The sequence below is a fragment of the Homo sapiens genome, chromosome 5 (genome assembly GCF_000001405.40).
Source record: "Homo sapiens chromosome 5, GRCh38.p14 Primary Assembly".
NCBI lineage: Eukaryota > Metazoa > Chordata > Mammalia > Primates > Hominidae > Homo > Homo sapiens.
The window spans coordinates 16,892,899-16,917,306 of record NC_000005.10 but is presented as its reverse complement, the minus strand read 5'-3'; the positions used below and the strand labels follow the sequence as shown (position 1 = coordinate 16,917,306).

Here is a 24,408-nt window from a genome sequence, read left to right as displayed (position 1 = left end):
TCCCTCTTGTATTTTATTTTAATATGCTGCATTTTCTAAATAAAATCATTATTCCTAAAGTAATTTCCATAGTGTACTCTTCGGGGTGTGTGTGAATGATGCATTAATCTGATTTTTATTAATTTTAATACCGGCATTATATTTAGTACAACTTGGTTATATTAAATATCTAGATCTATAGTTATATGTTTGTTTTATTTATTCCAACATTGATTTCTGCAGCATTGGTTAATAGTTGGGATATTAAGCCATTTTTATTTCTAGGCCTTCTCAACTTTGAGTTTCCACTGATCCTAAGAAGCGAAGGAACAGACAATACGGACCTGATTTGTATATTTCTGAGATGAAAGAAAGATTGAAGGGGCTGACGTTAGCAATCTACACTATATTCTTTGGACCTCTTCGTGTCATCTAATTATTTTAGTTAATTACCAACATTTTTGTTACCAACCCTGATAATGCAAGAGGCAGCCTCTTTGAATGGGGTACGTGAACCTTTACCAGTGAATTCATATCTTTTTTCTTTTCCGTTTCTCCCAATTTTGATGAGTAAGTGTGTGGTTTTTCTTCTTAATTTTCATCAAGCCTATTGTTTTCTTGCCAGCCACAGTGATGAATCACTCTAAAAGCTTGGTGAGGGCAGTTGAATCAGCAGGCAAAACTTTTTTATTTGCTGAAAATAAATGGAAGGCTGCTTATAGGTTCACACCCTTGCTGCTCTCATCAAATCTTCAGGCAGGAGGGAAATGAAATTGGATCATCTTAAACTTCCTGGATTTAATCTGTGATTTAGGAGTGAGTTCTTTCCATGCTTCTCCTCTCCTCTTTTCCCTTCCTAGCAAGAGGAGAAAAAAAGCAAGTAATTTAATGTAATCTGATTTTTTTTTTTTTTTTTTTTTTTACTTCATGGCTTTTTGACATTGGAAGAGAAATGAGCCATCTTTCTAGAGGAGCTTTAGTGTCATGTGTGCTTTTCTTATTGATTGGGAATAACTTAAAAAGACTCCTCAGAACTCCGAATGGGATATTTAATTTGTTAGAACACGAGTCTGCACCACTATCTGTTGACGGTGAAATGAATTTACTAAGTGGATAATTTGCTGAGCATTAGCTGACCCTGACGTGGCGGAACGAAGGTCTCTGGAGATGGTTCATGGTGGAAATCTGGGCTTGATGGGTCGGTAATGAGACTTCAGCGATGACATCTTTACCAAGGCTGAGGCTTAACACTCGGGACCAAGCGATTCAACTGGTAAGCGACATGCTTTGAATATTTACTCACCAGCTCTGTTAATTCAGATTCAGGATAAGAAATGTATGGTGAGTGATTTTTTTTTTTTTTTTCTTTTTGACGTAGAGTCTCGCTCTGTCGCCCAGGCTGGAGTGCAGTGGCGCAATTTCAGCTCACTGCAACCTCTGCCTCCTGGGTTCAAGCAATTCTCGTGCCTCAGCCTCCTGAGTAGCTGGGACTACAGGTGCATGCCACCACACCCGGCTAATTTTTTATATTTTTATTGGAGACTGGGTTTTGCCATGTTGGCCAGGCTGGTCTCGAACTCCTGACCTTAGGTGATCCGCCCGCCTTGGCCTACCAAAGTGCTGGGATTGTAGGCGTGAGCCACTGCGCCCAGCCAATGGTGAGTGATTTCTTTGCATCAGAGATGACTGCTTGTTGAAGACCACTGTTGATGGAATTCAGCGTGCCTTCACCTCTGCCACTTGACCTCTGATTGGCCTGCCATTGCTGTGGTTGTACTGGTAGCTAGGAGGGTTCCCATCCCCTGCCATTACTGAGACCATGATGCTGTGGAGGGGGATGCGGAGGACACCAAGGAAGTACGACTGATTGACTGATGCACCTTGGAGGGTCCCTCAGATTTATCTATAAACCCTTAAAAATAACGATAATCATAGAGGACATCTGTGAGGAACTTATTTGGTGCCATTTGCTGTGCTGAGCCATTTATATACAGATATCCTGGATCTCATTGAATCCTCTGCATCTTAGGAACTGTTGTTAATCTCATGTAGAGATGAACTACCTATGGCTTGGAACCCAGTTGTGTTCCCTGGTGGGACTCTGACTTCAGAAAGTACTCTTTTTGTCTTGCACTATATACCTTAGTTCAGTGTAAAGGGCCTGGTTGTTGGATTTTATTTGTGTGATCAATATTATTTTGCAGTTGGCCATTAGCGATCATCTATTCTCACCTCTTCATTTTGTAGACAGAATCTTCACCCCAAGATGTAAGTCCCTTGCCCAGCTTTGAAGAGCTTGTTCATGAATCCAGAGCCTTTTTCTTTGCTGCTGGTGACTTTGGCATTTCTGGGAAATTTCCGTTTATTTAAGGTTATACTTTTAATCTTGTGATGTATGTATATTACAATATTAATTTCTAATCAGCTGCGAAAGTTCCACCCTTGCAAAGTCCCACAGCCAGATGGGATCCCAAGTTTCTTGGCTCCCCCAGAGCTTGTGTGTTCATTTCTTCTCTTACAAGTTGATGTCTCAAGAGCTTATCACTGCTCTCACGGCCAGGTGGCTTGCCGGTTCCAAGGACTGGCAGTGACCTTATAAAATATTTGGACTTTTTCTAGTGCGATACGATCCCATACTAGGCAGTGATTAAATCTCAAGGTTATTTTCATGTCTGGGGTACCCAGTGGAAGGCATGTTTTGTCTAGGACTCCCTTAAATGTAGGAAAGACATATCTGGGGCTAGAAAAATTAGTATTTACAAATAGGCAAAACAAAAGTAGTAGACTCAGCAGAAAGAACAGGTCTGCAGAATTAACAGTGGCATAGGTGGGCCACGTAGGTTCTGTCAGATATCACTGATCCCAGTGAGGTCATGGGGCATATTGATCTGTTCTGCTGACCGCTATCTGATACTGATAACGCATGTTAGGTTCTTATAAGAATGGGCTTGCAGGCTTCTTAGTGTATTCCAGCAGAAGCTCCTGAAGGTCCTTGGGAAGTTTGTCACAGGCAGGAATCATGTGGAATGGCAGCGAAGGAAGGCGGCATGGCCAGCTGTTGGGATCGGCAGAGCTGGCTCTGGCAGTGGGCACTCAGCCAAGCCGCCCGCACTTCCTATAAAACACCCTGGTCTCTACCCAGCTTCCCGTAGGTACTGTAGGAAGAAATGCCACCTTGAACCCTTGGCCCAGCTTGCAGTACCATGCTGGAACATTAAGGTCTTTATCATTTGGTCAGGATCGGACAGACTTGCTCATGTTCCTTTGCTTTTCCTGCCCCACCACTGAAGTTGGTATCTTCAGGTGTGTTTCCAGGGAGGAGCCCAGGTTAGCTGTGTTGTATTGTTTCTTGTCTTAACTGAAATCCCATAAAAGGGGCTGAGTGTAGTATCCCACGTGATCCAGGTCATTCCTCCTCCTGGTGCCTCTTGGCTCCCTCTCCTTCTTGTCTTTTTGTCTCGAGCAACTGTATCCTAACCTCCTCCCTCTCTTGCCACATGGTGGTCTAGTCTTTGCCTGGCCTGTTGTTCTTGGAGCTCAGAATTTTGCTGGCCTTATTTCTGAACTTCAGCTCATACTTACGTATCCTGGTTCTCACTTGTCTCTCTTGTTCTGACTCAAGATGTTGCAGGCTCCTAGCCACACCCAAACCCCACATTGCACACCTACGCTTGCTTTGTCCACTGCCTGGGGTTGGCTGTGTTTCTGTAAGCAGGCAGGTCAGTAGCCTGTCTTCCACTGCCAGCCTTCCCTGGCACTCTGGGCACTGGCCACCTCCACAGTGGCAGATGCAGTTTTGCAAAAGTGACTTCATTCACAAACTTGAGAAGAAGGAAATTCTGCGATACCAGGGTGAAAACCAAAATTAATCATTCAGTCTTGAGCTTTAGACAGCCATACACGTATATACAAGGAGAAGCAGAAGATTGTAGTTTGAAATGTTCATATGCAATTCATACCCTAAAGGCTTGGATTCCTTCTAGCATTACCAACTATGCATCTCTGTGCTTTATTGCTAGAGGAGACTTGACTATTACTCAAGATTTGATTTTTTAAAATGACCTGACAGGAGTGTTAAGAGAATTTTGGCAGTGGCTTGTATCTTTGTCTTTGAGTTTTTAGCACCTTTAAATGCCAAGCATGATTTTTTTTTCCTCTATAACCTAATCTTGGAAGTGAGAAAAGAGTTTGTTTTATAACTGGGGAGAAAGAAATGGTTTATTTTTGTGTTTGATGTCAGTCACAAAAGAAGGGAGGCACTGAGAGAAATGTAAGCTCCTTTTTTGGTGAACTTTACTAAAACCAAAGGGAAGATAGAATTGGCTTTTTTTTTTTTTTTGGGAATAAACAATATCCTTGCGTTCTGGTGTTCAATTGGCAGGTGGCCAGAAAGCATGCCTGTAGCTTAGGAATCATCCCAAACTAAGAGAAAAAGCCTGACTTGCTGGAGGCTGAAATTCAATCTTGGAGGTACCATGGTGTGTGTGTGTGTGTGTGTGTGTGTGTGTGTGTGTGTGTGTGTGTGCAGGGTGGTAGGTGAAGGAAGTCTGGAAGTTGTACCCTTGGCAGCTATAAACAGAATACTCAACCCACTTGGGTGGCTGAAATACAGACTGTTTAAAAGGGTTTTAGTCTGCCATTTGGTCAGAATTAAGGTATGATTCAATATATTATATCCAACGCTGGCCTAAAAACATACTCATTTTTCTTTTGATTAGAGCCAGGTTTAATTAAAATCACTGCTTGACAAGCCCATTAAATAACTGAAACTTCCCTTCCAAAGCTTACCCTGAATGGAGGCATTATGTACCAAATAATGCATTTTTCAAAACCAGTATTGAGACCCAGACTATGTAAGGCACGGTGTACAAAGGCTACAAATATGGGGCCTCAGGTAAGGAAAGTGCGTGCACTGAGTTAGGTCGTGTGCCATAGGGAGTGGTGGGGACTGTGGCTCACCGGAGCTCACTGACCTGGAAGAATTAGGGCTCAGTGTTGCCAGGCCTTCTAGTTGTTAAAGAGAGATCAGAAACCTAGATTTCTGTGAAATGTTGCAATTTGCAAAATGTTGACAAGTAACATAAAATGTTTTGGTTTTTACCTAGTGGGCCGAACAAAACTTGGCTGTGGCTTAAAGTCTTTAGATCAGGGTGTCCAATCTTTTGGCTTCCCTGGGCCACATTGGAAGAAGAGTTGTCTTGAGCCACACATAAAATATACTAACACTAACAATAAGACGACTGATGAGCTTAAAAACAAACAAACAAACAAACAACCTAATTTTTTTTTTTGGAGACGGAATTTCGTTCTTGTTGCCCAGGCTGAAGTGCAATGGCATGATCTTGGCTCACTGCAACCTCCGCCTCCCAGGTTAAAGCAATTCTGCCTCAGCCTCCCAAGTAGCTGGGATTACAGGTGCCCACCACCACACCCGGCTAATTTTTGTATTTTTAGTAGAGATGGGGTTTCACCATGTTGGCCAGGCTGGTCTCGAACTCCTGACCTCAGGTGATCCACCCACCTCGGCCTCCTAAACTGCTGGGATTACAGGCATGAGCCACCGCGGCTGGCCAATTTTTGTTGTTGTTGTTGGTCTAAGACAGGATCTCACTCAGTTACCCAGGATGGAGTGCAGTGGTGCGATCTCGGCATACTGCAACCTTGATTTCCCAGGTTCAAGCGATCCTCCTGCCTCAGTTACCCAAGTAGCTGGGACTACAGGCGTGCACCACAATACCCAGCTAATTTTTGTATTTTTTGTAGAGACGAGGTTTCAGCATGTTGGCCAGCCTAGTCTTGAACTCCTGAGCTCAAGGGATCCCCCCGCCTCAGCCTCCCGAGGTGCTGGGATTAGAGGTGTGAGCCCAGTGCCCAGCAGAAATCTCATAATGTTTTAAGAAAATGTACAAATTTGTGTTGGGCTGCATTCAAAGCCGTCCTTGGCTGCAGGTTGGACAAGTTTGTTTTAGATGGTGAAGAAGTGCTGCTGTGTAACTTTGGAGCAAAGGAAGGGAATGGAATGGCTTATGTTTTCCTTTGGGTTGGTTTAGGTTAGTTTTAGCTTGCTTCCAAAAAATATTTATTGTGAAGTAGTTTTGAGAGGGTGGTATCTAGGTTAGATTTATGTATTTTCTGAATGGATCCTCATAGATCTCTGTTAGTCTTTTTAAATTAAGTTAAATTTTGTTTTAGAGATGGAGTATTGCCATGTTGCCCAGGCTGGTCTCACACTCCTGGCCTCAAGTGATCCTCTTGGCCTGGCCCATTCTTTATGGATCATGCAGGGGTAGAAATTGGATAATCTTGTCTCTTGAAGGGGAGAAAAGCTTTTATTTTTCTATTTTAAACGTTTACTTAATGTCTTTTTTTTTATTTAAGAGCTGTGAGGTTTGGAGGACTAGATGTCATACTAAGATACTTGTTCATAAAACCTGGCATTTGTTTAATGACTGAGTCCCTTTCCCCATAGACTACCTCAGACAGAGTGTAGCATAAATGGGAAGGTTCTAGAAACACAGTATCTGGGTTTGAACACTGCTCTGATGCTTGCTGGGGATATGACCTTGGGGAAGCCACACCCCCATGCTGTGCCTCAGGCTCCCTTTTGTAATATGGGTTTAATCTTAACTGTACCCATCCCGCAGGGTCGCTAGGGAATGAAATGGTGAATGCATTAAAAATGCTTAGAGGAGTGATGGATGCCTAGTGAGCACTGAAAAAGCATTAGGTAGTTTAGTTTCTATTACTAGTTTTTACTAATTATAATAAAATATCTGAGAGCCCCTTTAGTGTAGGACATTGTTATAGGTATTTTCACATCATTTTCACGTGGTCCTTCCAACTCTATGAAGAACAAATTATGATTCCCATTTTATAGATGTCACACTATGGAATAAAGGGCAGAAGACCTGGGTGGATCTCTGACCTGGTCATTTGTCAGCTGTGCAAACTTGGGCAAGTCAGTCTTTCTGGACTCAACTCAAATTTCCTGGATGTAAACAGGGAAAAAAGAAACAAAAACAAAGACAAACTGGATTGTTTCAGGATTTTCAGCTCTGATTTTTAAAAATTTTATTTTTTAAGGTGAGATTCATATAACAAAATTAACCTTTTCTAAATGTACAATTCAGTAGCAGCCAGTGCATCTACATTGTTGTGAAACTATCACCTCTAGTTTCAGAACAATTTCAATACCCCTAAATAAAACCCATACCTGTTATCTTAGTCCATTTTTGTTGCTATAAAGGAATACCTGAGGCTGAGTAATTTATAAGAAAAAGAAGTTTATTTGGCTCATGGTTCTGCGGCTGTATAAGAAGCATGGCACCAGTATCTGCTTCTGGTGAGGCCTCAGGAAGCTTCCACTCAGAGCAAAAGCCAAAGAGGAGTCTCCGTATGCAGATCACACGGTGAGAGAGGAAGCAATAGAGAGGGGAGAGTGCCAGGCTCTTTTCAACAACCAGTTCTCATAGGAACTAAGAGTGAGAATTCACTCTTCCCTGTAAGAATGAGTTCCTGCAAGCTATTCATGAGGGATCTGCCCCCACGATCATGAACACTTCCCACCAGGCCCGCCTCCATCACTGGGGATCAGATGTCAACATGCGACTTGGTAGGGCTAAACAAATCATGTCTGATGTGGTTTGGCTGTGTCCCAACCCAAATCTCATCTTGAATTGTAGCTCCCATAATCCCCATGTGTCGTTGGAGGGACCCAGTGGAAGGTAATTGAATCACGGGGGCAGGGTTTTTCTGTGCTATTCTCGCAATAGTGATGGTAAATAAGTCTCACAAGGTCTGATGGTTTTTTTTTTTTTTTTTTGAGTTGGAGTTTCGCTCTGTTGGCTGGGCTGGAGTGCAGTGGTGTGATCTCAGCTCACTGCAACTTCCGTCTCCTGGGTTCAAGCGATTCTGCTGCCTCAGCCTCCTGATTTCTGGGATTACAGGCGTGCACCACCACAGCTGGCTAATTTTTTGTATTTTTAGTAGAGGCAAGGTTTCACCATGTGGTCAGGCTGGTCTCGAACTCCTGACCTCGTGATCCGCCCACCTCGGCCTCCCAAAGTTCTGGGATTACGGGCGTGAGCCACCGCACCTGGCCAATTTGATGGTTTTATAAAGGGCAGTTCCCCTGGACATGCCCTCTTACCTGCCACCATGTAAGACATGCCCTTTGCACCTCCTTCACCTTCTGCCGTGATTGTGAGGCCTCTCCACCCATGTGGAACTGTGAGTCCATTAAACCTCTTTTTCTTTATAAATTACCCAGTCTCAGGTATTTCTTCATAGCAGTATGAAAATGGACTAATACAATGTCCAAGACATAGCACCTGTTCAGCAGTCACTCCTTATTCTCCCTTCTTCCCAGCCCCTGACAACCTCCAAGTTGCTTTCTGTCTCTATGGAATTATCTGTTCTGGATATTTCATGTAAATGTAGTCACACAATAGGTGACCTTTTGTGTTTGGCTGCTTTCACTGGGCATAATGTCTTCAAGATTCATCTATGTTGTAGCATGCATCAGTACATTCCGATATTCCAGTGTTGGCTCTGTTTTATATGAGTAAATGTGTGTAAAATGCATTGTAACAAATATGGTTATATACTTATCATATCTATATCTATCTATATATAATGTGTATGTTTCAATATTTATGTTGATTTCTATTGGCAAGAAGGCCCATATTTAAAGAGATTGGATTGGATCTGTTTTTATTAGTGTCATGGCATATTTCCCAAAGGCTCCACTTTGTACCTCTGTTTTTAATTGGTTTACCTAACAAATTTATTTTATTTTATTTCATTTTTTCGAGACAGAGTCTTGCTGGCTGGAGTGCAGTGGCATGATCTCAGCCCACTGTAACCTTCACCTCCTGGGTTCAAGCGATTCTCCTGCCTCAGCCTCCTGAGTAGCTGGGATTACAGGTGTGTGCCATCACACCCAGCTAATTTTTGTATTTTTAGTAGAGACCAGGTTTCACCATATTGGCCAGGCTGCTCTCGAACTCCTGACCTCAAGTGATCCATCCACCTCGGCCTCCCAAAGTGCTGGGATTACAGGTGTGAGCCACTGTGCCCAGCCTATTATATTTTGAGCAAGAGTCTCACTCTGTCACCCAGGCTGGATGGAGTGCAGTGGCACAATCTTGGCTCACTGCAACCTTTGTCTCTGGGTTCAAGGGATTCTCTGCCTCAGCCTCCCGAGTAGCTGGAATTAGAGGCATATGCCACCACACCCAGCTGATGTTTGTATTTTTAGTAGAGACAGGGTTTTGCCATGTTGGCCAGGCTGGTCCCAAACTCCTTACCTCAAGTGATCCACCTGCCTTGGCCTCCCAAAGTGTTGGGATTACAGGCGTGAGCCACCGAGCCTGGCCATGTTTGCCTTAGTTTTAAGTGATCATCAAATGTTTTGCTTTTTTAATAAAAGAGAGGTAAAGATAAATTTTTATATTACATTTTCCAGTAAAGTTGAAAGCTCAGAAAAAGGAAACCATGTGAATGTATCCTTTACCCACCCTCATTGCCTTCTCAGCAGCTGCTCTCTGGAAATGCCAAAGCATAGATTTCTTATGTTTTCTATGATAGTTACATTTAAAAACCAAACCATAAATACACTTTGCTTGCCCTTTTCCCACAGTGAGTTGTGTATTCTGTGGGTAGTTTCTTAAAGAGGAAGCATATGTCTCCTTATGTAAATCCTGTAATGAAAAATATTTTTTAATATTGTCTGCATAATCCTTTCGGACATTGTTAGTGCCCGGGCTCATTTCAGGATGGATGAAATTGTCCTTTTGTGTAACCTTTTTTTTCTTTTTTTCAATAAATCACTCTAAAGGGAAATGCAATCTCCCGTGACCTGTTGATCAGCAGACTTGGTGATCAGTGGGGACTTTTATTCTTTTCCATAGTGTTGGATGCCTTCTCCTTGGGTCTTCTGAGTCTGTTGTGCTGAAACCATTATTTTTGGTTTCCTTTGTTGGCTCATTCTCTGCCTCCCATTTGAGAGGCAGTGTAGTATAATTACAAGAGCGTGTGCCCTGGAATTACTTCAGTTTTGAATCCTGGCTCCAACATTTAATAAATAAAAGTTAACAAAGAGGCAAGTAAAGAAACAGGATATAAAATGTTTCAAGTGGCTACCAGAAATGGCGATGTTCTTGTGGGTTCCTGAATATAGATGCTTTTCTTTCTTTCTTTCTTTTCTTTTTTTTGAGATGGAGTCTCATTCTGTCGCCCAGGCTGGAGTGCAGTGGCATGTTCTTGGCTCACTGCAACCTCCACCTTCCGGGTTCAAGTGATTCTCCTGCCTCAGCTTCCCGAGTAGCTGGGACTATAGGCGTGTGCCATCATGCCTGGCTAATTTTTTTGTATTTTTAGTAGAGACGGGGTTTCATCGTGTTAGCCAGGATGGTCTCGATCTCCTGACCTCAGGTGATCCACCCGCCTCGGCCTCCCAAAGTGCTCGGATTACAGGCGTGAGCCACCGTGCCTGGCCAGATACTTTTCTTTCTTCTCCACATCAGCCAAGGGGCTTGAGAGGCAAGGGGATGGGTCAGGAGACATTACTGCAGAAGGGTAACTTCTGGCACTTCTTGGATGTGGGGGATGAAAGTGTTGAGACTGTCCTTTTTGGCCAACCTAGTGATTGCAGTGACCTTCGAGATAGGCATAGAGAAGGAGGAAGTTGGAGAGATGATGATGCTAAAGTGGTTTTGGCCATGCTGGCTTCTGACATCCAGCCCTTGGTAGTTAATGATTTAAAGTTGTTTCCAGGTGGGATGTTCCTGGGCCTGAAGAAGCAGTAGCTCTCTTCTCTCTAGAGTGGTGGTTTCTCAACAGTGCGATTTTGCCTCCAGGGGACATTTGGCAATATTTAGAGCTATTTTTGCTTGTGACACCTAGGGGCAGGGTTATCTAGGGAGTAGAAGCCAGGAATGGTGCTAAACTTCCTACCGTCCTCAGGATATGGTTATGCAGCCCCAAGTGTCAGTGGTGTTGCTGCTGAGAAAAGTGCTTTAGACCCTCGAGCTGAAGGACTCAAATTCTTTTCATCCTAGGAGCGCCCCATTGGCTCCTCATTCCAGGGTGTGGTGTTGAGGAATGGGGGGGTCCATTCTGGACCCTACCCCTGGCACCTACCAGGTGCACCCTAAAGTCTGCCAGTGGCATGGGGACTGGGATAGCAGCCGTCCTGCCAGGCAGGAGTTGCCTTCAAGGCCTGTTAAGGGATATGGGGTATGTGTGACACTGTTGTCACTTTTTTTGTGGAAATGCCAAGTGTAAGAAATCTCTGTTGCATTTGACAGGTGTTGCAGTTGAGGATGTATCCATTCTAATCTATGAGTGCTTTTCTTTCTCTTTTTCTTTTTTTCAACTTGCCATGGAAGATAGGGAACAGGAAATTGGACTTAGCAATTACTGAGTGGTTGTCCCTACTCAGATGTCACCTTGTTAACAAGCTGCTCTAACTCCTTAAGTTCTCACCCTTGACACACACATTGTTCATGTGTGAAGACGCTACCCACCCACTCCTGATCTTTGCAATCAGGAGTTAAATTTCTTACTTTTACTGGTGGCAGGGAATTTATTTGTTAAAGCAAACAAAAGAAGATCGCTTGGTGTCACTGGGTCGTTGAGAGCCACAACATGTATTTGGAAGTGAGTTGCATCCAAGGTACCCATCTTTTTCTTTGGCAGACTCTGGAATGGAACTTTCTTGTTTTGCAGCACTCATCGGTCAGTGGAGGTCTGAGATGGACTCATTGCCCTGGCTGGCTGGCTGGCTGGTGGCTGTTCCTGCAGGACGGGAGGGTGAGTGTCAGGGAGGTGGCTCTGATTGCAGGGAGACCTACTAGCCTTAGGGTTGGGAGAATATTCCTTTTGTTGCTCCTTCCCTCCAGCTGTCCCCCTGCCCTCTCTTCTGTTGAGAGCAGTGGACTCTGGGTGTAAGGGCACACTCAGACACAGTAAGGGCTCAAGGTCGGTGAGGGAGATTGTTGTCCTCCGAAGATATTAGTAACAGTGAGCTTTGCTGAATGAGCCCAGACAAGGATGGGAGGTTGAGTCTTTGTGGAATACCGAGTCCATTCTTGGAGGTGCTTTCCTTCAGAAGCTTGGGAAGCCACCTGTGTGCTGGGTAGCTTACAGTTCGCCATACCATCTCTAGAACAAGGGATGCAGCGTGCCCTCCGCATCAAGCGAGATTTGCTGCCTGATGTTCGGTGTGTTACATATGCAAGACTCACTGAGTAGAGGCACTGGGTTGTTCTGATATAGTTTGTGCTTTGGGTGATTTAGTCCCAGTATTAAACTCAGCAATCTGAGCTCTGAGGAGGTAGAGGAATAAGTAAACTGAGTTTCTTCTACTAAACTTTCACAACACACTTCTTTTTTTTTGAGATGGAGTCTTGCTCTGTCGCCCAGCCTGGAGTGCAGTGGTGTGATCTCGGCTCACTGCAAGCTCCGCCTCCTGGGTTCACGCCATTCTCTTGCCTCAGGCTCCCGAGTAGCTGGGACTGCAGGTGCCCGCTACCACGCCCGGCTAATTTTTTGAATTTTTAGTAGAGACGGGGTTTCACCGTGTTAGCCAGGATGGTCTCGATCTCCTGACTTCTTGATCTGCCCGCCTCGGCCTCCCAAAGTGCTGGGATTACAGGCGTGAGCCACCGCGCCCAGCCTCACAACACACTGCTGACACCAGATGTTGTGGGGTGAGGGGTTCCCCAGACACCAGGCAAGCAATCAGTTCTGCAGCAGACACCAGCTGGGCGTCCCCTCATTCAGTTCAGTTCTGACACTGTCTACCCGGCGTCAGACCCCACAGGTTGAGGGCTCAGTCCTGTAAGTCTGCTCCCCATTTTTGATGATAGTCACAAGCCGCAGGTTGCTGCACCTGTGCTTCTGATCAGCAGCCTGTACATCAGGGTTCCCTTGATCTTCTCCTGGGTTTCAGTTAATTTGCTGGAGCAGCTCACAGAACTCAAGGGAACACTGGCTTACGTTTACTGGCTAGTGGTAAAGGATATCACAAAGGTTACCCAGACTACTAGATGAAGAGGCGCATAGGGCTAGGTGTGTGGGAAGGGTCTGGGAGCTTCTGTGCTCTCCCTAGGTGTGCCACCCTCCAGAAACCCCCATGTGTCCAGCTGTCCGGAAGCTCTGTCCTTTTGGGTTTTTATAGAAGCTTTATGACGCAACCATGACTGATTTCTTTCACTGGTTACTGGTCAACCTTCAGCCCCTTTCCTTTCCCTGCCTTGGTCTTTCCTGTGAGCAGCCCCCATCCTGAAACCACCTAGGGGCTACCAGCCACCAGTCAACTCATGGCATACAAGACACTTACACTTTGAAGATTGCAAGGATCTTAGAGTTGGATGTCAGAGGACAATGACGCTGACCAAATCTGTATTTCACAATACCCCACAACCCAGCCTGTCATTTTCAAATACTTCAGCTCATGGAACGCAGGTCCTCACTCCCATCTAAGCCCATAATCTCCCTTTGTATTTTATGTGCACTTCTTATGTCATTCCTCTCTGCACTTTATTATGGCCACTTTCTGTTATTTACAAGGTTTTTCTCTGATTAAACTGTTTGAGAGCAGGCTGGCTTCTATTCCTTTTTCAGGCTGTTGAGCAGTTCTCTATGCCAGGTGCTAGGCTGGACTATTTTCTAATATTTGTTCCCTTATTTAACCTCTTAGCTGCTTTGTGGACTGATGCTTATTATCTGCATTTGTAAAATATTAATAGGAAAGTGGCTTATGAAAGCCAATCAGTAAAGCTATTTCAAAAAGAGGAGAAAAACTGAACCCGTTTACCACCTGTTAGCTCTGGGACCGTGGGCAAGTTCTTTATCTGCTCCATGCCTCGTTTCCCATGTCTGTAAGATGGGAGCATTATTATTATTATTATTTTTGAAATGGAGTCTTGCTCTGTCGCCAGGCTGGAGTGCAATGGCACGATCTCAGCTCGCTGCATGCAACCTCCGCCTCCCAGGTTCAAGTGATTCTCCTGCCTCAGCCTCCCGAGTTGCTAGGATTACAGGCATGCGCTACCACGCCCAGCTAATTTATGTATTTTTAGTAGAGACAGGGTTTCACCATGTTGGTCAGGCTGGTCTTCAACTCCTGACCTCATGATCCGCCCGCCTTGGCCTCCCAAGTGCTGGGATTACAGGCGTGAGCCATCGCGCCTGGTAGGGAGTGTTATTAGTTACTCACTCACAGGGTGTTTTAAGAATTAAGCAAGTTAGTGCGTGTGAAGCGTTTAGGACAGAGGCCTGCACATGGTCAATGTGTCAGCTGTTAGGATTATTCTCCAAGGTTACGAGGCATTGGGAGATCAGAGCCTGGTCTGGATTCAGAAGCCCATGTCCTTGCCATTGAATTCCATGTCCTTCTGGGCCTGGCACTGTGCCTTGTCAGCCACGAGGGCTAAATAAATATTTGTAGCATGAATAAATGCATTTGAAATTTTTGATGGTGGTTGTTCTCCAGGTGAAATGAATTTACTTAAAAGATGGCCCTGGGCACGGTGGCTTACGCCTGTAATCCCGGCACTTTGGGACGCCAAGGCGGGTGGATCACCTGAGGTCAGGAGTTTGAGACAAGCTTGACTGAAACCCCATCTCCACTAAAAATACAAAAAATTAGCCGGGCCTCTCTCCGGTCCATGCTTCCAAGATGACAAAGAAAAGAAGGAACAATGGTCGTGCCAAAAAGGGCCGCGGCCACGTGCAGCCTATTCGCTGCACTAACTGTGCCCGATGCGTGCCCAAGGACAAGGCCATCAAGAAATTCGTCATTCGAAACATAGTGGAGGCCGCAGCAGTCAGGGACATGTCTGAAGCGAGCGTCTTCGATGCCTATGTGCTTCCCAAGCTGTATGTGAAGTTACATTACTGTCTGAGTTGTGCAGTTCTCAGCAAAGTAGTCAGGAATCGATCTCGTGAAGCCCGCAAGGACCGAACACCCCCACCCTGATTTAGAACTGCGGGTGCTGCCCCATGTCCCCTACCAAAGCCCATGTAAGGAGCTGAGTTCTTAAAGACTGAAGACAGACTATTCTCTGGAGAAAAATAAAATGGAAATTGTACTTTAAAAAAAAAAAAATTAGCCGGGCCTGGTGGTGGGCACCTGTAATCCCAACTACTTGGGAGGCTGAGGCAGGAGAATCACTTGAATCTGAGAGGTGGAGGTTGCAGTGAGCCCATATTGCGCCTCTGCATTCCACCCTGGAAAATCTGTCTCAAAACAAATTTAAAAAAATAAAAAATAAAGAAAATAAAAGGTAAGAACATAACTTGGGGTGCATGAAAGAAGCAGAACGCTGTGTTAGACTTCTGGAAAATACTTTTGTGTACCTTAGCCTGGGCTGAAAAAGCAAACAGCTTCTCAAAATCAGACATTTTAAATGAACTCATTTCTGTGTGGAAAATATGGCTTCATGATGGTCTGGCTCTAGAACGTGCCAGGGAACCAAGCAGTTAGGGGTGGGAATGGGAATTCCTATTGCCCTCTCTGCATCTAGAAAACGACAGGCCGCTCTGCACTGGGGTAGCACAGAGGGCAAGGCTGTGAGTGAATCAGGTGCCTGGTACTCATTGTAGGGAAGTCTAAAAGATGGCGGGTGTCAGTAGGTAATTTAGGATTTTGATGTATTTTTAGGGTGTGGGTATCACTTTTATTATTGGTTTCTATAAATGGGAACTGTAGAATCTGTAAAAGGAGTCTTCTCACCTATTTAAATGCCGTAGAGGTAAGCTTGGGGAAGTGAGTTGGACGCGAAAGGTGAAGGTCATTGTTAATAGGGCAGGGCTGGTAAGAGACAAATACGCTCTTCTGGCAAAGTTTCCAGATGGGTGGAGTTTATACTGAAGTTCACCAGGTTCTTGGGTTGTTGGAAATCCTCCTTCCTGCCTTCTTTGCTGGGCACCACCTTGTGTGCTGGGATGGAGAGTAGAACCAGCACGGGTGGTCTGGCAGGGAGGGCTGGCACCTGGGGACAAAGGTACATGCAGCAAGCTGACTGACGGAGGAGGGGCGCCCAGCAGGCCAGCGAGGGCCTCTGAGAGGAGGTAATGTATGTGAATGCCGAAGCCAGAGGATGCATTGGTGTTGCTGGCAAAGCAACAGGCTGGGGTGAGAATGAGCTCAGCCTGGGTGAGAGCTGAGAAGAGTCTCGGGAGAGGGGGGCTGAGACAACGCTGGAGGGGCAGGCAGGAGCCAGATCATGCACAGTCTACAGGCTGCTCCGGAGGAATTTTGTTAGAATAAAAAAGATTTTAAGCAAGGGGCCAGGCGTGGTGGCTCATGCCAACACTTTGGGAGGCCGAGGTGGGTGAATCACCTCAGGTCAGGAGTTTGAGACCAGCCTGGCCAACATGGTGAAACTTCGTCTCTACTAAAAATATAAAAATTAGCTAGGTGTGATGGTGGGTGCCTGTAATCCCAGCTACTCGGGAGGCTGAGGCAGGAGAATTGTTTGAACCCACGAGGAGAAGGTTGCAATGAGCCGAGGTGGCACCATTGCACTCCAGCCTGGGCGACAGAGCAAGACTCTGTCTCAAAAAAAAAAAAACAAGATTTAGGGAGGTGTGTACTTTTGGGAGGATCATGCTGGTTGCTAGTTGGCATAGAATGAAGAGGGATGGGGTGGGTTTGGGGGACTAGGGAGAGGAATTGGACCTGGGAGGTGGTGAGAACAGATGGCCTGGCTGCTCTATCCAATTGTCACCGGATGGATCGGTCCCCCGTCTTTTGAAAAGCTAATTTGCCTCTTGAAAGCTGCTCACCTCCCTGCTGGGAGGTGGTGGGAATTTACACGTTTTTCTGCAGTCAGTCTTCAGACCTGTCACATTCTAGGTTCCAGGGTAGTTTTTTTCTCTGTTCAGGCACACTACAGTGTCTAACCTGTAGCCCCTGCAAACTCTAATTAAAAACACATTTGCCTTAGACCGCTGTTTCTACATCTGCAAAACTCCTCTCTTTCCATGATCATGTTGAAATTATCTGAGCATGGTTGGGAGGCAGAGAGGGCAGTTTTTAGGTGAAAGCACATATTTTTCTGCTATTTGGCATATAATTAATTGTCTAGTTTTATTTGTCTTAACTCTGAACGACCAATAACTTAAATAAGGAACCGACCTGTGCAATTCAGTGTTCAAGAATTTAGAAAACATTGCTGTTGAAATTGCTGTGAGTTTTGTACTTTAGGAAACAGATGTGTTTTTCCTCCTTCTCTTGATGAAAGATATCACAGGGCAATTTTTATACTAAGTTTCCCAGAGCTGTTTAAATCTTTTTTTTTTTTTTTTTTTTTTTTTTTGAGACAGCATCTTGCTGTGTTGCCCAGGCTGGAGCGCAGTGCTGCGATCTCTGCTCACTGCAACCTCTGCCTCCTGGGTTCAAGCAATTCTCCTGCCTCAGCCTCCCAAGTAGCTGGGATTACAGGCACCCACCACCTCTCTTGGCTAATTTTTGTATTTTTAGTAGAGTTGGGGTTTCACCATGTTGGCCAGGTTGGCCCTGAACTCTTGACATCAGGTGATCCACCTGCCTCGACCTCCCAGAGTGCTGGGATTACAGGCGAGAGCCACTGCACCTGGCTTAAATTATTTTATACACTGGACCTGTACAATTTACATTCTTGTAGCAATTCTGATTTATCACATTGTTTTTTGTTTTTTTTTTTTTTGAAACTGAGTTTTGCTCTTGTTGCCCAGGCCTGCTGTGGCATGATCTCGGCTTAAGCTCTGCCTCCCAGGTTCACGCGATTCTCCTGCCTTAGCCTCCTGAGTAGCTGGGATTACAGGCACACGCCACAACGCTCTGCTAATTTTTTGTATGTTTAGTAGAGACGGGGGTTTCACCATGTTGGGCAAGCTGGTCTCGAACTTCTGACCTCAGGTGATCTGCCCGCCTCCACCTCCCGAAGTGCCGGGATTACAGGCGTGAGTCATCGCGCCCAGCCACATTCTTTTATTATTTCAGAAGTAGGGAAAAATATTTTTCTGCTTGTCTCCTCAGGTGAATGTTGAAGTAAAGTAGATTAGGATGAGGCAGGTTGGTTGTCACTGGGGAATTTTGTACATTGTTTCCTAAAATGAGGAAAAGCAAACATAATGAAAACATTGCATTTGTGTCTGTTATCTTTGCTCACACGCTAGCACTTTTTTTTTTTTTTTTTTTGAGACAGAGTCTGGTTCTGTCACCCAGGCTGGAGTGCAGCGGCATGATCTCGGCTCACTGCAACCTCTGCCTCCCGGGCGCAAGTGATTCTCCTGCCTCAGCCTCCCAAGTAGCTGGGATTACAGGCACCCACCGCCATGCCCAGCTAATTTTTGTATTTTTAGTAGAGACGGGGTTTCACCATGTTGGCCAGGTGGCCAGGCTCAGGTGATCTGCCCGCCTCAGCCTCCCAAAGTGCTGGGATTACAGACGTGAGCCACCATGTACTTTTGCCTACTGAATTACATCTCTAGATTTTAGCATCTAGAACTGGTCTGTCCAGTGCTTTAGCCACTATGACTTTGTGATATTTGGGCACTTGAAATATGGCTGTTCCAAGTTGAGATGTGCAGGGAACATGCAACACACATCAGAATTTGACAATGGGGCCAGGCATGGTGGCTCACACCTGTAATCCCAGCACTTTGAGAGGCTGAGGTGGGTGGATCACCTGAGGTCAGGAGTTCGAGACCAGCCTGGCCAACATGGTGAAACCCCGTTTCTACTAAAGATACAAAATTAACCGGGTGTGGCGGGCCCCTGTAATCCCATCTATTCGGGATGCTGAGGCAGGAGAATCGCTTGAACCCTGGAGGCGGAGGTTGCAGTGAACTGAGATCACGCCACTGCACTCCAGCCTGGGCAATAAGAGTGAAACTCTGTCTCAAAAAAAAAAAAAAAAGAGAAAGAAATTTGAGAATGGGTATGGAAAAAAGAATGCCAGTTAGCTCATTGATGTGTTTTTTTATGATGACATTTTGAAACGGTAATACTTTGGATCTCTGGGTTAAAAAACAGAATATTAAAAGTAATCTTACCTGTTTCTTTGTAGTTTTTTTTAATGTGATTATTAGAAAATTTAAAATTACATATGTGGCTTGCCTTATTTCTGCCCAGCAACTCTGGTTGAAAGACGCTGACCTGGGGGCTCCCGAAAGCTTTATCCCTGGGGCCCTGTGAGCTGCTTGTGGTCATTCTCGCTGCTTTTCCCCAAGTAGAACTGTCCATACTTGGTCCAGCTGCTGGGACCCTCCTACCTGCCAGCAGTGCTTATCTCCCAGCCTGGGGTTGATGACAGCAAGAGGGCACGCAGGCCTGCAGACCAGCTCTTTCTTAGAACAAAAGAGTTCAAGGGGTTCTTGAGATGATTAGGGTCCGCAGAGTTTGAGTAACACTCTTGAAATGCTCAAAAGCAGTTGGTTGGCGAGAATGGTTCTGAATTCTGCTAGCCACTTAGGCATTGTTTGCTGTTGCTACTTTTTCTAGGATACTCTTGCATTTTAAACAAACCTCTTGGAGGGGTTTCAACCCTTTTGGCTCTGCCCCCCTACAATCACGCTAGATCTTGTAGCCCATGACGGCACACCCGCAGGGAGAGCTGTCAGGGTAGCCTGTAAATGGAGGCCGTGGAGATAAGTGGATGTTGCACTAGATTTTCATTGTCTGTTGACAAACCTCTGTGGCATTTGCACAGAGAACAAAGAGTTTAGACCGTGGGACTCAGGAGGCCTTCCAGTTTGCTGGTGTTGGTGAGAGAGAGCAGCACATCTGCATTCTGTAGAAGTCTGCAAGGAAGATTTATTGCCCTTTGAAAAGCCAAGGTATGCACTTCAACACAGATTTTTACGTGGGTTCATCTAGGGATGCTTGTTTCAAACACCAGTAGGGCGTACGTCTTTGCATAGGTCTTGGATGTCTTGGACTAGGATGCTGTGGTATTTTATTGGAGTATCTGTGGTGGCGTTGCAGAGTTTCTGAATCATGCTGATAAAGGACTTTTTTTTTTTTTTTTTACGAAGTGTAAATTTCAGGCGATATTTACTTAGCAAGCCAGTTTTGTTATGTATACTTCTGTGGGAACTTCTAAAATAATTTTTAAATGGTATCTTTTAAAATGACTGGTCTTTCAACTAAACAGTTTCAAAACAAATACTTGAATTGCAGTGAGCATTAATTATTGGAATAAATCATAGCCACAGAGGTGTATATACCAGCATTTTGTAGTAGATTACTCAGGAGCAATGCGTTGTTTCCTTGACAGAAAATTTATATGATTTCCTTCTTTCCTTCCTTCCTGCCTGCCTGCCTTCTTCCTTCTGCCTTCCCGTCCTCCCTCTCTCCTTTCTTTTCCTTCTCTCTCTCTCCCTTCTCCCTTCCTTCCTTCCTTTGTTCGGAGCTAATGCAAGATTGTTTTGGAGGCAGACCAGGTTTGAGAATCACCGAATTGATGAATCCACAGACAAGAGGTGGGGAAGGCACCCTTGTGTTTTTGGTAACCACCCAGAAGGCCCTGACCTCACCCTCTGGAGCACTGGCTCAGTGCAGGAGTGCCCTGCCACCCCACTGCACCCCAGAATCCTGGGGGGGCTGCTAAGATCCAGCTCCTGTCATTCCACTTCTGCACAGCTGGATTGGTGCCTGGGTACTGTCTGATTCTGCTGTAAAGACAGGGGTGAGAGCCTCCTTTCTAGACCATTTCTTTCCTTTTTCTTTTCTTTTTTTTGAGATGGAGCCTTGCTTTGTTGCCCAGGCTGGAGCGCAGTGGCACGATCTCGGCTCACTGCAGCCTCTGCCTCCTGGGTTCAAGCAGTTCTGCCTCAGCCTCCTGTGTAGGTGTGATTACAGGCATGTGCTACCATGCCCAGCTAATTTTTGTATTTTTAGTAGAGACAGGGTTTCACCGTGTTGGCCAGGCTGGTCTCCAACTCCTGACCTCCGTTGATCCACCCACCTAGGCCTCCCAAAGTGCTGGGATTACAGGCATGAGCCACCGTGCCTGGCCAAGACCATTTCTTTAAATATAGAGATAAGGTCTCACAGTATTGTCCAGGCTGGTCTTGAATTCCTGGGTTTAAGCAATCCTCCCACCCCTGCCTCCCAAACTGCTGGGATTACAGGCTTGAGCCATATCACCTAAACACCTGAGAGCTTATTGGGAGCTTGCCTGGCTACTGCTGATTGTGCCTTCTGAGTCCTGAGATTACTCTGCTTGTAGTTTCCTTCCTTCCATGAGGCTTAAGAAGGAGAGAAGGACTCCATTTTTCAGAGAGCAGAAGCGAGGCCAGGAGTGTTGAGGCGGAGAGGGCAGGAGCTGGGGCTGTCGTCTGCAGTCCGGTTGAGGAGCAGCATGCTGGCTTCCCAGGGGAGCTCCTGCCCTGCTCCTCCCTGCCCCCGCCCTGCTGTGCGGCAGGGCCCCCCTTGCATTAAGGCTTTACCACTGGGGGTTTTGCAAGTTTATTGCACGCATGTCCTTGCTTCTAGCCAGGAGTTTGGCTTTTTACCAGGTGGCAGAGTGTGTGTGTGTGTGTGTGTGTGTGTGTGTGTGTGTGTGTGTGTGTGTGTTGTGGTGTTGGGGAGGGGGCGGCTTACATCATGGCCAGAGTATTTGGGAAGGATGGATGGGGTGGGAGGGAGATGGATGGATGGGGATGCTGGAATCCACCCCTAGGAAATTCCTTTGGGTGTCTCAGTGTCCTGCTGGGGAAGGAGCTCTTGTTGGGTTGAGCCTGTTGGGTGTTCTTACCATTGGTCCTCAGGAGGTGAGAGGCTTCCTGGGAACGAGATAGGGGAAGCAGAGGGCCTTTGTTCTGGTCTAGATGGGGCGTGTCATCCAGGGGTAGTGGAGAAGCTGATGAGGAGCCAGTAGGAACTAGGAGGAACTTTCCTTCCTTGGCTTCGGGCCTCAGAGCCTCCGGTGAGCTGCCTCACCAGGACATGGCTGTATTTGATGGACAGACCTCAGACGTCAGCCTCCTGGGCTCGGCCCATTCTCCATTCACTGCAGCAGGGTCTTCACTGCAGCCCCCCTGCCACTGCTTTGTCCCACCCCTTGATTCCCCTGAGGGAGATCTTGGGAATTTCCAAATTTTGAGTGACTGAAGGCCTTTCAAACTGAGAAAGAATTAAAAATGGATCCTTCAAAATGACTTGTCTACTGTGTGGTTCTTTTAAAACATAATTTGAAAAGAGTATACTGCATTGTAAAACAGTAATTTTGCCCACATTTTATTGGTAAGGGTGGAGGTGATTTTAGTCCTTAGTGGTTTGTAGAGCTTGGCGGGTTAGTCTGAGACTGTTTTTTCTTGTGCTGGACAAAGGTGAATGTCTTCATTGTTTCATTGTGTAGAGCTGTTAATAGTTTATGGAGGGTGATTAAGTAGCGCTGCATAAGCCAATTTACAGTGTGTCTTAGTCTACACTGGCACTTGGCTAATTTGCAGAAAATTGGACCTTTCAACATGGGGCTTCCTCCCTCTACTCCGTGGGGGCTTCTCCTATTCATCCCTCAGCAGTCTGGCTTCCCCTCCAACACCGCAGGCTCCAGTCCTCTGTGTATCCCCACATTAGTCCTCCTGGTGTCAAGTTTCAATGATCTGTTTGCACTTCATCCCCATTGGACTGCAGGCATCTGGGAATGAGGCGTGTCCCTTACTAATCTTTGCGCTGGATCTCTGGCACAGTATCTGTGTTGTTAAATGCGTCAGTGGCCACCTCTGCTTTCCATGAAGCATTTCTGATTATCCACTCACCTTCTTTCTCAGAGTTAGCCTCTTTAATCCCCACAGTTCCTGGGAGGTAGATTGTATTTGCTTTTCCTCTACATTCGATGAGGAAATGAAGGCCCGTGGAGGTTCATTTGTCCAAGGCCACATGGCTAAGATGTGGTAAAGCCAGGGTTCCTGTCCAGGCGGTTTGGCCCCCTGGATAGAGCCATTATCAAAAACCACTATCCTTCGGTCTAGCCAGGAAAAAAAACTTCAGACAGCCCACAGAGGAGGGATGTTTCACAGAATACCTGACCAGCATTTCTCAAAACCGTCAAGGCTATCAAAGAAGGAGCATGACGATTACATCCAATGTCCCAGAAGGGGTCCTGGGACGGAAAAAGGACATTAGGTGGAAACTGGAGAACTCTGAATGAAGTGTGGCATTGAGTTCATGGTAAGGTGCCAGTGTCGGTTCCTTAGTGTGATAAATGTCCACATTATGTAAGATATAAGAACAGGAACCAGAGTGAGAGGTGTACAGGGACTCCCTGTATTATCTTTGCAACTTGTCTGGAAAATCTAAAACTATTCTAAAATGAAAAGTTTACTTAACAACTTAATGACAATGCCACCACTAAGCCCACTGCACTCCACTGCCTGGCTGGCTTGTCACACACTCTGGGTACCCTCACTCCTCGCTGCCTGGTGCCCACCCACTGCTGGGGAGAGGCTGTGTCCTCGGAGAAGAGTCCCCTCCAATTTCAGCACGTAACAGTGACGGAGGGATATAACTAGGGCTAGTCACAGGGCCATCAGAAGTGCTGCCCCCACTTATTTATTTATTTATTTATGTTTTTAGCAGTGTAGTCTGTTCCAAAGTCTCTGTTGAACCCAACAGGAGGTGTAATATGGAGAGAAATGAAAATGAATTTTGCTGTAGGAGGGAAATAATTTTCTTTTTTTTTTTTTTTTTTTGAGACAGAGTCTCACTCCCTCACCCAGGCTGGAGTGTGGTGGCACGATCTCAGCTCACCGCAACCTCTGCCTCCCGAGTTCAAGCGATTCTCCCACCTCAGCCTGCTGAGTAGCTGGGACTACAGGCATGCACCACCACACCTGGCTAATTTTTGTATTCTTAGTAGAGATGGAGTCTTGCCATGTTGGCCAGGCTGGTCTCAAACTCCTGATCTCAGGTGATCTGCCTGCTCAGCCTCTCAAAAGTGCTGGGATTACAGGCGTGAGCCATGGTGCCCAGCAGGAGAGAAATAATTTTCTATAGACAAAATCTTAGTGTCAAGAGGACCAAAGAGGCATTTATGTCATTTAAATGTTTCTCATCCTCTTCAGCCTCCTTATCGCTTTTCTGTTGGGGGTAGCTTGTAATTGTAAGTTCTTTTTTTTTTTTTTTTTTTGAGACAGAGTCTCACTGTGTCACCCAGGCTGGAGTGCAGTGGCGCAATCTCGGCTCACTGCAAACTCCGCCTCCCAGGTTCAAGCCATTCTCCTGCCTCAGCCTCCCGAGTAGCTGGGACTACAGGCGCCCGCCACCACGCCCGGCTAATTTTTTTTGTATTTTTAGTAGAGATGGGGCTTCACCGTGTTAGCCAGGATGGTCTTGATCTCCTGACCTCGTGATCTGCCCGCCTCGGCCTCCCAAAGTGGTGGGATTACAGGTGTGAGCCACCGTGCCTGGCCTGTAAGTTCTTTTTC

General features: G+C 45.9%; 1 protein-coding gene and 1 pseudogene across 2 annotated transcripts in view, besides 2 other annotated features; both read left to right on the top strand.

The window, feature by feature from the left end:
- Positions 1–24,408, top strand: part of MYO10 (myosin X) — a 274,382-nt gene that overhangs the window by 18,982 nt on the left and 230,992 nt on the right. The window lies entirely within an intron of this gene.
- Positions 14,641–15,080, top strand: RPS26P28 (ribosomal protein S26 pseudogene 28; annotated as a pseudogene).
- Positions 19,004–19,864: an enhancer, noted in NCBI's record as "H3K27ac hESC enhancer chr5:16897552-16898412 (GRCh37/hg19 assembly coordinates)". NCBI's record gives its function as "activates a minimal SCP1, AML or CMV promoter by ChIP-STARR-seq in naive and primed H9 embryonic stem cells {active_cell/tissue: H9 hESC(naive and primed)}" and the evidence as "EXISTENCE:reporter gene assay evidence [ECO:0000049][PMID:30033119]".
- Positions 20,314–20,483: an enhancer, noted in NCBI's record as "experimental_83741 CRE fragment used in MPRA reporter constructs". NCBI's record gives its function as "activates a minimal promoter by MPRAs in K562 erythroleukemia cells, with activity observed for the introgressed 5:16897018 variant allele {active_cell/tissue: K562}" and the evidence as "EXISTENCE:reporter gene assay evidence [ECO:0000049][PMID:34662402]".